Source organism: Homo sapiens, chromosome 18, assembly GCF_000001405.40.
Source record: "Homo sapiens chromosome 18, GRCh38.p14 Primary Assembly".
Classification (NCBI taxonomy): domain Eukaryota; kingdom Metazoa; phylum Chordata; class Mammalia; order Primates; family Hominidae; genus Homo; species Homo sapiens.
Window position 1 is genome coordinate 66,388,445 of NC_000018.10, and position 14,781 is coordinate 66,403,225.

A 14,781-nucleotide genomic window follows, 5' to 3' on the forward strand; every position below is an offset into this window, starting at 1 on the left:
TTAATGCCACATTAATATCTTCAGTATTTTTTATGAGCAATCAAACATTTTCCAGAATAAATTAGAATTAATATGCCAATTAATTTACTTAAACCATGTATCACCCCTTCTATAATGTAATGATTTTGTCCCCATTCTCATACATTCTTTGGAGGGCCAATGAAAACACAATGTTTTGTGTGTTTTGTAACAATCAAATGCTAATTAAAATGTGCAGTGATAGGCAAAATTAGAATCTATCAGTCACCTATGTATAATAGGTGAATTCTAAAAAGAATGATTTTTAATAGTATTTATCATTATTAAGTGTTTAATTATTAATTTAAAACATTTATATGCTTACTCCTTCATTTACTTATCAAATATTACTGAATACATATAATATTCTGGACACTGTTCAAGAAACTAGAGATGGTGGAAAACAAGATATAGAACATGGAACTAACTGGAAGCAGACATATTAGGAATTTCTCAAATGTTTGGGGACTTGTTAATTATAGAATATACAACCCATCATGCAATTTGGTATGAACAGATTATTTGCTATTAAGGCAGCTTTAGAAGCAGTTGGATTAAAATTTATCTTGATAGTTGTATACTATCTATTAAATACTTTTTTCTTTTTTCCCTTTTTTCTAGATTTTTCTTGATTATATTTCTTTTATCTAGGGTTTACAATATATTTCTGTGATTAATCAAAGTGTAGATTGGAATTGGTATTATCCTTTGTTCCATGTAATTCATAAATCTTGCAACAATATATTCCCAGTGTTTTGTTCCCATCTTTTTGTGCTATTGTTATACATTTTACTTTTCACAGATTTTGTTGCAAAAATTATTATTTTTGTTTTGAAAATACAGTTTTCATTTAGAAATATTAAAAATGAGAAAATTTATTTTATCTTTTTTATTTCTATTTTATAATTTGTAAGTAGCACTTTATCAAAGGAATAGGTACTAAGCATTCAAAAAAAATATTGCATGGGTTAATTTCATAAGGAATATGGTAAACAGCTAACTGCATGTTGAGGTAATGGTCATCACCCAGTTTTTACTCAAAGCTAAATGAGAGCTAAGTATGTGTTATTATTTAAAGTGTACATCAGACTATGTAGAAACACAGACTGATTTGGCCTGGCTCTGTGTCCCATCAAAATCTCATCTTGAATTGTAATTCCCATACGTCAATAAAGGGACCTGATGGGATGTGTTTGGATCATGGCAGCAGTTTCTCTAATGCCGTTCTTGTGATAGTGAGTGAGTTCTCACAAGATCTGATGGTTTAAAAGTGGAACTTCCCCCTTCATGTGTGCTCTCTTTCCTTCTCTCCTTCCACCTTGTGAAGAAGCTGTCTGCTTCTCCTTTGTCTCCTACCACAATTGTTACTTTCCTGAGGCCTCCCCAGCCATGTGGAACTGTGAGTCAGTTAAACCTCTTTCCTGTACAAATTACCCAGTCTCAGATAGTTCTCTATAGTAGTGTGAAAATGAACTAATACTGAAAACTGGTACCAGCAGGATGAGGTACTGCTGTAAAGATAACCTGAAAATGTGGAAGCAACTTTCAAATTGGGTAATGTGCAGAGGTAATGGGAACAGTTTGTTGAATGGTTTTGATCAAAATGCTGATAGTGATATGCACAATGAAATCCAGGCTGAGGTGGTCTCAGATAAAGCTGAGGAACTTTCTGGGAACTGAAGCAAAGGTCACTCTTGCTATGCTTTAGCAAAGAGACTCATGGCATTTTGCCCCTGCCTGAGAGATCTGTGGAACTTTGAACATGAGAGAGATGATTTAGGGTATCTGACAGAAGAAATTTCTAAGCAGCAAAGCATTCAAAATGTAACCTGGCTGATGCTGCAAGCATTTAGTCATATGTGTTCACAAAGAGATAGCTTGAAATCAGAACATGTTTAAAAAGGAAGCAGAGCATAAAGATTTGGAAAGTTTGCAGTCTGACCATGTGGTAGAAAAGAAAAAAAAAACACATTTTCTGGGGAGGAATTCAAGCCTGCTGCAGAAATTTGCATTAGTAGCAAGGAGCCAAATGTTAATCACTGAGACAATGGGGAAAAAACCTCCAGGCCGTTTCGGAGATCTTCACAGTAGCCCCTCCTATTACAGGCCTGGAGGCCTAGGAGGGAAAAATGGTTTGGTGGGCTGGGCCTAATGCCCCCTGCTTTGTGCAGCCTGAGACTTGGTCCCCTGTGTCCCAGCCATTCCAGTTCCAGCTCTGGCTAAAAGGGGCTGGGGTACAGCTGGGCCATTGCTTCAGAGTGTGCAAGCCCCAAGAACTGGAGGCTTCCATGTGGTATTTGGCCTGCGGGTATACAGAAGACAAGAGTTGAAGTTTGGGAACCCTTGCCTAGATTTCAGGCAGTGTATGGAAATGCATGGATGTCCAGGAAGAAGTCTGCTGCAGGGGTGGAGCCCTCATGGAGAACCTCTGCTAGGGCAGTGCAGATGGAAAATGTGGGGTTGGAACCCCTACACAGAGTCAACACTGGGGCACTGCTTAGTAAAACTATGAGAAGAGGGCCATTGTTCTACGGACCCCAGAAAAGTTGATTCACCAACAACTAGCACCACATGCCTGGAAAAGCCACAGACACTCAACACCAGCCCTGCAGAGCCACAGGTGAGGAGCCACACAAGGCCATGGGAGCCCACCTCTTGCATGCCCTGGTTGTGAGGCATGGAGTAAAGGGAGATTTTTGAGCTTTAAGATTTAATGACTTCCTGACTGGGTTTTGGACTTGCATGGGGCCTATGGCACCTTTATTTTGGCCAATCTGTCCCATTTGAAATAAGAATATTTACCAAATGCCTCTACCCCTATTGTATCTTTGAGATAACTAACTTGTTTTTGATTTTTACAAGTTAATAGGTAGAAGAGACTTGACTTGTCTCAGATGAATCTTTGGACTTGGACTTTTGAGTTAATGCTGAATGAGTTAAGACTTTGGGGAACTGTTGGAAAGGCATGATTGATTTTACAATGTGAGAAGAACATGATATTTTGGAGGGGTCAGGGTCAGAATGATCTGGTTTTGCTCTGTGTCCCCACCCAAATCTCATCTTGAATTTCAATCCCCATGTCTCAACAGAAGGACCTGGTGGGAGGTGATTGGGTCATTGGGTGGTTTCCTCCATGCTGTCATCATGATAGTAAGTTCTCATGAGATCTGTTGGTTTCAAAGTGGAACCTCTCCCTTCACTCTCTCTTTCTGTCTTCTGATGCCTTGTGAAGAAAATGTTTGCTTCTCCGTTGCCTTCCAACATGATTGTAACTGTCCTGAGGCCTCCTCAGCCATATAGAACTGTGCATCAACTGAACATCTTTCCTTTATAAATTACCCAGTCTCAGGTAGCTTTTTTATAACAGTGTGAAAATGAACTAATAAGCAGACTTTATTTTAACCATTTCTGTTGATCTTTATTTTGTTTTGCAGATTCACATTTCTGTTGAGTATTATATTTTCTTTCCTGTTCTTCTTTTAACATTTTGTAGTGCAGATGTCTTGGTACTGAATTGTGTCCTATGTTTGTCTGAAAAAGTACTTTTCTCCTTTTTGGGGAAAGATATTTTCACTATATAGAATTCTTTTTTTTGGCAGTGATTTTGCTCCTGTTTAGCATTTTGGAGATGTTAATCCATTATCTTATGACTTAAATATTACATATTTCTTTTTCATATAATATGTATTTTATTCTCAAGCTGCCTTTGAGATTTTATCTTTAGTATGCAGCATTTTGAATTTTAAGTATAGGTGTGTGTACGCATGTGCGCACACACACGTGCATGCATGCGTTCACAGGTGTCTGTAAGATGATATTTGTTTTCTTTAATTTGGTTAACTTCCTGGATCCATGGTTTGATTTCATTAATTATTTTTAGAAATTTCTTAACTCTATATGCTAAAATTTATTTTCTACCACACTCTCTTCTGCTTCCAAGATTCCATTTAAAAGTAAGTTAAATTGTCTGAAAATTTTCCACAGTTCTTAAAGGCTCTCATTTTGTTTGTTGCTTTACAGTTGTTGTTTTTTTTTAACTCATGTTTTCCTCTTTTTGTTTCAGGTTGGGTAATATCTATTTATCTATCCTAAGTGGTTCTTTCCTCAGCTGTGTCAAGTCTAGTGAATGGCCCTTTCATTAAAGTCACTTTTCATCTGTTCTATCATTCTTCTAGCATTCCTATTCAATTCTTTCTGCAGTTTCTATTTCTCTGCTGAAATTTCTCAGCTGCTCTTGCATTCTAGATATCTTTTCTATTAGAGTCTTTAACACATTAATTATAGTTATTTAAAATTTTCAGTCTGATTTTTACAACACCTAGATCATGTCTTAGGATGGAATTTTTACTTTGTATTCATAACTGGAAATGTGCATGAACATTTTGCCGGAATGTTAGCGTGGAGAGGTAAAGGAATTTTTCCCAAAATTGAATTGGATGTGGACTTTGTTGTTGCTTCAGGGCACCATTAGCTTTGGTGATAGGACACAGGTCAAGATCCTCAGGTTGACCGCTACTGCAATCTACAGTCCTACCCCCTGCAATTTCTGCTTCTCTTCAAATTAGCACCTGGGCCCTTACCAAAATATGCCTTAGTGTCTACCACAGCTGTCTCCTAAAAGAAAAGAAATTTACTGAATTAAAAATGCAAGACACTATTTTTCAAGTAACTATTTCTTACTCTGACTGTTGTTCTTTAGTGTTTACCTGATGGATCAATTTTTAATTATTTGTTTTCTATTCATTCCAAATTAGGGAAAACTCTGCTTCATGGGTTCAATCAATGGAGTGTTATTTATGGAATGGAACATGATAAACAAATTACCAGATACGATTCTTCATTTCCCAATGTAAGCTCTAGACATTTCTAGGGAGATGGCTTTGAAAACATATTGCATCTAGTTATTTAGAGACTGAATAGTAGAAATTAGAGTCACAGGATTGACAACCCTGTAAATCTTGTTCATGAGCAGCCCAATTATTTCCCCAGAGGTCTTTGGGATGGTGTAGAGTTGGATAAAAAAGGAAAAACAAAGGATGTTGTTTCTTGCTGGAACATTGGACTAAAAATTCAAAATAAAATTCTAGTGAGATACAAAACAACTCTTTTTTACTCTGTCTTTCTAGACAAAATTAACCAAATATCACAGCATGCTGTGGCCCACCCTTGCTTTGTCTACATCAGTCTCTGGTTTTACCTACAGGTGGCAGCAGCCTAGTCCTGAGAATATGCAGTGTGGAAACCTGAACAAAAGAGCTTGTTGGCCCAATACAAGCTCATCGTGGATGATCACTGTTCTTCTCTTTTTCTGCTTTACTACTTTTTATCATTCAAAACACAAAGCCATCAACACTTTCTTGATTCAGTACATTTCTGAAAATTAAGGTTAGCTGAAGCTGTATATCTGCTCAGATTTATACCTGTAGGAAGGTCACAAGGGATCAGAAAATTCCTACTATTGAGCAAGAATAAAGGGGATTTCAATAGAAAAATTTCAAATAAAAATCCAAGTATGAAATCATGCATGGCCAGATTACCATCATTCTGTACTCGGGAGCCCTTCTCCCATCTGACTGAATCCCCTCCATTCTAGGGGGAAATAAACTGCCTGTAAGAGAAAATCCTGTGAGTAAGATTAAATAACTTCCCTGCCTGAAGGAGACCAAGCACACATGCAGAGAATCACAAAAGTCTAAAACTAGTATTGAACCTTTGCCCTATCCCAGTCCCCATACCCATATTAAGTAGGCAAGTCAGCTTTACACAGAGATTATTAAGAAAGTTTCTGAATGAGCTTAGTTTGTTGTTACAGATCTCCATGCTTCATTCTTGTATCTTGTTTTATCAACATTACAGAAACAAAATATCTTTGGCAATATTACCACATAAAATTAATGAAAGTTATATAACCTTATAAAAGCAAAATAACACTAGTCGATATTCACATTTACAAGTAATAAAAATATCTGGTAAAATATTTTAAAGATATATAATTTAGCTTATTTTGAGCTGGCATAAAAGGAATTCTCAGAGATCAAAATAAAGTAAACGTAGAAATCTTATCAGGTAAGGAAAGGGTTGTTGAAAATAGCCAAGTATATTTTTAAACACAGTCAAATTGACTTTCTAGAAATTAATACATAGATGCTGAATTTAAAATGTATTTGATTATTTGAACAACAAATTAAACACAACTAAATGAAGAATTAGTAAATTGAAAGTAAACATAAATAAAGTTTTCCTAAAGGCAGAGAGGAAAGGATAGAAGATATGAATGACAAAAGAAATGGAAATAAAAATAATACAACTTTATATATCAAGTTTAAATTCCAGAAGGTGAAAAGAGAGAGAAAAGGCAATATTTTAAGAAAGTATGAATGAGACTATTCAATAATTGATTGTAAAAACATCATTTTTATAAAAAGCAAACTAAAATACAATAAAAATTTAAAGGGTTTATTTGACCAAAAAACAACTCATGAATTAGGCGGCTTTAAATAAGTGGTTGGAAAGCTTCACCAAGGGAACACAAGAGAGAAACTTTTATCTGATACACACAGAATTAGAGCAAAGAAAATATTTGATTGGTTACAGTTATACATTTTCCTTCTTTGGTCTTTTCTGTTAGAGAGTCCCTAGTTATATAAGTCTGTTTGTTGGCTGCTTCTGATTGGTTGAACTTTAGTCCTCTTTATCTATAATATAGACATTAACTAAAAAATAGCACTAGTTAAGTTTCGCTTGTGTTTGCAAATCAAACAATATTTAGGTCATTTATGAAGCTTAACTGGCTTTGTCAACTCAGGGATTCTTCAGGCCTGGTCTCCATTTTGATTTACTTTAACCACATTAATATTCATAATAACAAAGCTCAACAAATCAGCAGAAGGGTAGATGAAATGTAAGCAACACCTGGAAGGATCAGGATACCATTTGCAGAGTACAAAGTACAAAGAGAAGATGTGAAAGGCAGCTAGAAATTGATGAGAGATTTTCTGTAAAGAAATGGTATCTATTCTAAGGGCAGACTTTTCCACAGGAATGATGGAAACCGGAAAAATGGAGGAAAACCTTTTCAATGTTCTAATTAAAATTATATATCGGTCTGGCATTGTATATGAAGTGAAATTATCTTTCAAATTTAAAAGCAAATTAAAGATATTTTTAGATAACCAACACTGAACTAGTGTTTACCCTAAATAGGTGTAGTAAAGTGGGAGGGGGATCCCTGTGAGAGTGACAGCATGCTGGCAGCCCTTGCAGCCCCAAGCCCTTCAGCCTGCCACTGTGCTGTGGGGGCCCCTCTCTGGGATGGCCGAGGCCCGAGCCAGCTCCCTCTGCTTGTGGGGAGGTGTGGAGGGAGAGGCGCGGGAGGGAACCGGGGCTGCACTCAGTGCAGGCGGGCCAGCGCGAGTTCCGGGTGGCCGTGGGCCCGGCGGGTCCCGCACTCAGAGCGGGCGGTAGTAGCCGCCAGCCCCAGGCAGTGAGAGGCTCAGCACCTGGACCAGCAGCTGTGGAGGGTGCGCGGCCTCCCCCAGCAGTGCCAGCCCACCGGCACCACGCTCGAATTCTCGCCGGGCCTCAGCTGCCTCCCCGCAGGCCAGGGCTCAGGACCTGCCCGAGCCTCCCCACGCCCCCACCACCCCACCACCCCACCACCCCCACTCTTTGGGTCCGCACTGCCTTTATGAGCTGCAACACTCACCGCGAAGGTCTGCAGCTTCACTCCTGATGCCAGCCAGACCACGAACCCACCAGGAGGAATGAACAACTCCAGATGGGAGGAACTAACAACTCCAGACTCGCCGCCTTAAGAGCTGTTACACTCACCGCGAAGGTCTGCAGCTTCACTCCTGAAGCCAGCGAGACCACAGCCCCGCCAGAAGGAAGAAACTCGGAACACCTCCGAACATCGGAAGGAAAAAACTCCGGACACACCACCTTTAAGAACTGTAACACTCACCACGAGGGTCCGCGGCTTCATTCTTGAAGTCAGTCAGGCCAAGAACCCACCAATTCCAGACACACCTGGACTGGGGTGACCCTAGAGTTCTTGTGGCCCTTTGGTCTGGAAGGAATCGAAACTTCATTGTGACTGTGAATGAGGAATGGGGGATTAGTTTAGGTGAGGAGAAAAGCTGATGAGCTACGCTGCAGTCCCCTGGTTAAAACATAAAATGACACTAAGAAACGGGTACGCTGTCAATTAGAGAGGGCAGTTGGGGTAAACATTAACAAAAAGTAACTTTGAGAGGCAACTGGATCACCAGTAAATGTGAGAGTTGAAAAAAGCTGGAGAGAGCAGTGTCTGTGACTGCATTAGGAAATTTATATAAATATTCCCACTGTTATAAGGCTTATCCAAAGAGTTTATACATCAACCCTCCCAAATTCCCCAAACCCAGTTACACCTGCTTTAGATGTCGGAAGCAGGTATAGCATAAATAAACGCTTTTTTTTTTTTTTTTTTTGACATGGAGTCTTGCCCTGTCACCCAGGCTGGAGTGCAGTGGCGCGATCTCGGTTCACTGCAAGCTCCGCCTCCCGGGTTCACACCATTCTCCTGCCTCAGCCTCCCGAGTAGCTGGGACTACAGGCGCCCACCACCACGCCCGGCTAATTTTTTGTATTTTTAGTAGAGACGGGGTTTCACCGTGTTAGCCAGGATGGTCTCAATCTCCTGACCTCGTGATCCGCCCGCCTCGGCCTCCCGAAGTGCTGGGATTACAGGCATGAGCCACCGCGCCCAGCCTAAATGCTTTTTTGTTTTAACCAGATTGTGACTGACACAATAATTTTACATTGAATACACCTGCATTCATTCACCTTAATAACTTTGTACACCATAATCTGTGGTTCAGAAATTTGTTTTTACCTATGAAGTTCAATTAATGTATTCACAATTTTGTGACTTGAAATGTCATATTGTCATACTTTATAAAGTAAAGGAAAAATGCATTATATCATAAAAATGAAGGAATGAACTTTAGTGATAGGATCAAAAGGACAATTGAAGGTATCAGATTGAAGGAAACTAGACGAGGCTTTCACTTACCAATGCAGCAATTATCAAAGTATAGCACAATGCTTTGCACACCGTAGGGAATCAATAGATATGGATGAAACAGTTGAATATCACAGTTGTCGGGATATATAAATAGTGAAAAATCAAAGGATGTTCTTTGATTATAAAATTTATAGAAATTATGATTTTTTAAAAATGTATCAATTAAGATTAAGGAATCTAGAATCATTTCTGTCCATTTATTATTAGCTCTGAACTGCTATTTTGTATGAGCATTATTCCCCAAAAGATAAAAGAATAAGGAACAAAAAGAGCCAGACCCAATTTTAAGTGGGTCACGTCGTACCTGTTTACTTCAAAAGTGTTCATGATAAAGTATGGATAGCTATTGCCAGTTCATAGACTATTACTCTAATTTAGGAGTTACTATGATTTAGAATTGGCGTTCTTTTGTTGCAATTAAAGAACATGTTAAACAAGTATATAATCTACATTCTATCATTAAACTTGAACATAATTTAATAATGATTCAGTATACTACTCAATATGCCAAAACCCCCATTAAAACAGGTGACGGTAAATGTTCAAAAATCCACATATTTATCTCCAAAATTTTAGCCAAGTACATACAACAAAACAACATGTTTTGTTACTTAAACCTCTAAATATGAATATTGCAAAACATAAATGTTTTTTAAAGCAATTGGGAATCAACAAATGAAACGTATATATATATAATTTCTAGTTATTCTATGAATTATTTCCCCAAAATAAGCCTCATTCTACAATACTCCAATATTTGAAACCACTTAGTCTGTGTGTTTTTCAGGCAAACTTGTTCACCCTTTTATAAAACCATTTCAGCTGTGCCTATGCAAAAATAATGAGGGAAATATCTTACTTTATTTAAGAATGACATTTTTCTGTTTTTGGTTTACTCTGTTTATACAGCTTTCAAAGAAGTAGAGTGATAGTCTTAGGTGAAAAAATTCTTTAAAAACAAACAAACAAAAAACTATTACAACATCAGCAGTCCTGAGGTTCCTGATATGTATGTAACTATGATACCCTGTTATTCAAATACAAAAATGCAGCCAATATGAGTTAGTTAATTCTCTAAAGGGCCAAGTCATGTCAACAACAAGGTCCCAGGAGAAGAGAAGGAGCTATTCTGTTGCTGAATCCATGGCACACATGTGAAATAATGCAGCATTGCTTATGCAGTCACAGACACCTGCCTAATCATGATCGATGACATGAAGTATATTTTTTAATGAAAACTTATCACCCATCATTATTTCTTTAAAGTATGCTAACTCTATTATCTCCAGAGTTGAATCTCCTTCCAAGTCTAGGCCTTTTGGTGTTTCCTTTGTTTCTTTATTCCAATGGATGCAGCTAAAGCTTCAGTACACACTTCCGGTCCCGTTGCTGTTGATCTTGCGTATTGTTTCTGTAATTTCCTCTCAATAATAGAATGTTTGCCTCTGTCAGTTTCCAAGATTGTCCAAATGCTGAGCTGGATTCACATCATTAGGTCATCAAACTGCACACAGAATAAATTGTAGTACTTTTGTTTCAACTGCAATCTAACTTTACAATTTTATTCCAAACCAGCTTGTTCTAGTTGTGTGTTGATTGCTTTGTGATATGTTGTGTTCACACTCCATTACACAAATGCTGATGCTATAATTCATCTTGAGGGACATGGAGATTGAGAGTAGCCCCAAAAGGTGCTCCCCAGAAACGTGTTATTCAAAATGCATCTCACTAATTGCTGCTGAGAAGTTTCCTACTGATCCCTTTGTTTTTATACTGACAAAGAATTATAAGAAAATTATTTTTTTCCTGAATAGTACATAACAGTCATTTTTTTTTGCTACCAAACATGACCCCAATTGTCAATGGGGGAACATAAAGACAAGGATAGAGATATATTTTATATGTATATGTAAGATATATAAATAAAAACAATGAGAAATTCAGTAGAAAAAAATATATTTCAAAGTTGATAAATGAAACGTTTAGAAATCTTTCATTTCTTTCAATGACTTTTTCTGAATATTGTTTATCTTAACAATAAGGTACATTCATTAATCTTTCCAATGTGTTTTTTCCTATCAATGGCTAACACTCTGTCTTGTAAAAGGAATAAGAAATAGCTTGATGATAATTACCCTGAGCGTAAGAATTTTGCTTGTGTATCTCCTTAGCTTTCTCTTATGGGATATCACGTCATTTTGTCTTCATGTTTCACTATTGTCAAATACCTCTTCAATTTCTGTTTTGTAAATTAACTATTAATCTAGCTCATAAATAATGTAAATAATCCAATTTTTCTTTATACTTTCTCCTTCTATTCGAACCAACTATATAACTTACTTTCTCATACCAATTATTTATTGATAATATGAAATTATAACAATTCAAGTATATGTAACTTTTGACATAATACAGCCGTCTGATAAATACATATTTAATATTTATGTACATAAACTACTATGTTTCTGAGTGTGTATGTAGGCAAAAAGGCAACTATATTAATAAACTCTTCTTAAAATTGTATATGGAAAAACAAAAAGTAAATATCTGCAAAGGCAAAATATAAAAATTTCGATATGATAGGAAAACAAAGTACAAGAGAAGTTCAAACACAGAGCTCTCACTATAGGTGATCTATAATTAGAGATTGCCATAATAGAGAAGAGTGTGACAACATACAAGGAAGAAGATTATTACATGTGAAAACTATAGGATAAGCAAAGGTGCTGAGGCACAAAAGCTCTACTGCTGTTACCTAAGGAACTACTAGCAAATTACCTAACATGTACATAATTCAGTATATAGAAGAAAGTATGTTTAAGAGCAGTTCATCAGTTGTGTCAAATACTTCATTGATTAAAGAGGATGAGAACTAAGAATGATTGATGGTTTGCATTTCAATCATCTTGTAGAGACTATTTTGTGGTTGTGGCCACAAGTGGCCATTTCCCCTTCATGTGTATTCTACCTTACTATATGCCCAGGACATTAGTTCAAAAAGCTATTTCCTTTACTGTATGGAACCAGTAAGTACAATCCTAAGTGGAAACAACATGTAAAATTCAAACACAGTTACAGAGGGCAAAGCATACCCAAGTGTTCTTTGAAACAATTGTATTTGGGATTTTAAAACATGTTTTTTTTCCATATTTATGTTATTATATTTTTCAATCACTAGTTTTAGTAGACAAGTGGAAATCTGTTTGCTAATGGGAGACAATGTTAAATGGATTTAAACCAAAGACACCACTGACCATTTCCACACTTCCTTCTTGAAGATGAATTTACTCTTACTCAAAAAATCAAATAGTTGTAACACTGTAAATGATCTTTTGTGGTAAAGGAGGCGACTACTCTCTTTTTCTGCTGTTGTGTTTAGGGCTGAGTTTGAAAGGAAACTTTTCACATTACTAGCCTAAATAAGAGCTTTTCCTACCAACACCCAAGGATAGAAATTTATTTATTTTAATTCATCCATTGACTTGCTCACATTTATTTTAATTCATCCATTGACTTGCTCAGTTACTCACTGATTCACTTTTTCTCCCATTTAGTTACTCACTTGTTCAAGGAATTTATATCACCACCTGTTAGGAACTGAACCATGAGAATATAGCGGCAACCACAAAAAGAAGCCCCTGGCTTTCATAAAATGCAAGTTATCAAGCACATCGCATTAACCTGAGAGACAGTTTTGAAGGTCAAACCTGGAATTACAATGCTGGGAATAGCTATATGAGTTAACAATATTATTTATCTCCCTTTTTATCTCTTCCATAATTGACCCCACCGTCATGTCAGTGTATGATAAATGACATAAAGCCCACCACGAATCAAATGATGTTCTGTCTTGATTTATTCATTTAATTTTTTCTCTTTCAATTTTTTCATCGTGCCTATTTCTATCCTTGGGTTTCCAAAATTTAAATGTTAAAAATTAAAGGGTACTATACATATTCATGGGCATATTACTGCCATGTTTTTGCCCATATTAATTTAAGAATTTAAGAGTTGAGGATTGTTATAAGCACCCAGAAGATATAAACTGTTTCTATAAGGAATCATATATAACAGTTTTATAAGATATTTATTGGTAGTATTTAATGCTTAACAATAATGACTAAGTTCTTGCATTTATATTATGAATTCAGTATACATTTTCCCCATTTAATCTGCATAAGTACTCTATCAGAGATTATGCTCATTTAAAATTGAGAAATAGACTCTAAGAATAATTAATATAAAAATAATTTTAATAGCTCACTAAAGCTGCCTCTTATTATTTACCATGTTAATTCTCTTCATTTTCTTTAAAACTGAAAGACATCTATACATTGCTGAAAGAGCAAAGATCATAGAGTACCAGGGCATGCCTCTCTTTTGATGTTTGCTTGATCTAAGGAGAAGAGACTCAATACCACAAACTCAGCTTTTAAAGGGAAAACATTACAGTCTATCCAAATATATCAAATCTCTGGAACCATCTGTGGGTTTGGAGCCCAGCAATAAGTTAGAAACTGAAAATATAAGATTTCTTTTAGGCTAAAAGGTTACAATAGAACACATTACATCTGTAATGCCATCCAGGAACTGGATGTCCTCAAATTCTTCTGTGCTCAGCAAGCCTAGAGGGGAAATAGAGTGATTTTCAATAATGCTGCAAAATAATGGATCCAATTCTCCCCTGCATCTCAGGGAATATGGGTTTCTTAAACACAAGGAAGCAAATCTCTGCCATTTTCATTCCGCTCCTATATCCTACAATTTAATCTTTCCAAAATTAGATTTAGAAAAAAAACTGTTTCGAACTGAGCAGAACTACTCATTCTTCTGTACTCTGTGTATCCTTTAAAATGTAGCACTGGTATTTCAAATCTTAAATGTTGGAATTTAAAAAAATATATGGAAATAAATTTTAAGTAGCTAAAATATTTAATTTTAAAAGTGAAACATCCATTTTTTAATATGCAGGTGATGGAGAATAAAAATTAAATACATATCATAAAGTTTAATTTATAACATATTACAAAGATAAAAGAGTCCTATCAAAATATTGATGATACAACTTTATTGATCATTTTATATTTTCTAGCTGATATGTTCATTACTTTCTGGTCACATATCATTTGATTCTTACATAACCTATGTGATGTATATAATTACTATTATAATTGTTTTACAGAAGAAGTCATACTTATAGTAAAATAATTGGAATTCGACTCTGTTGAACCTGTATCTGTCTCCAATTCCCATGTAGTTAAATACTGTCAATTACAGGGGTGTGAATTGTGTATGTCTGTGTGTGCAACATTTCTTCATCAATGACCTTACCAAATTATGTATATATATATAACATTTTTGTAAATATATAAATTTTATGTATATATAAGTCTGATATATGTACACACATATACATAAAAAGAGGTACTCAAGCCAGGGAATTTAAAACTAGAGAAATCTGAATCAAAATTATATTGAGATGCTAAGTTATTATCTTACAGACATCACATTGCCAAAAATGGTGCAGGTTGACAACACCAAGTCTTCGAAAGGATGTGAATCCTGTGTTAAAAAATATGAATTAACATCAATTTATATACATTGCTAGTGGGAGTATAAATTTGGTAAGAACTTGGGAAACAAATTGGCATTATTTTGTAAAGTAAGCATATCTAATCCAGGTATATACATAAGAA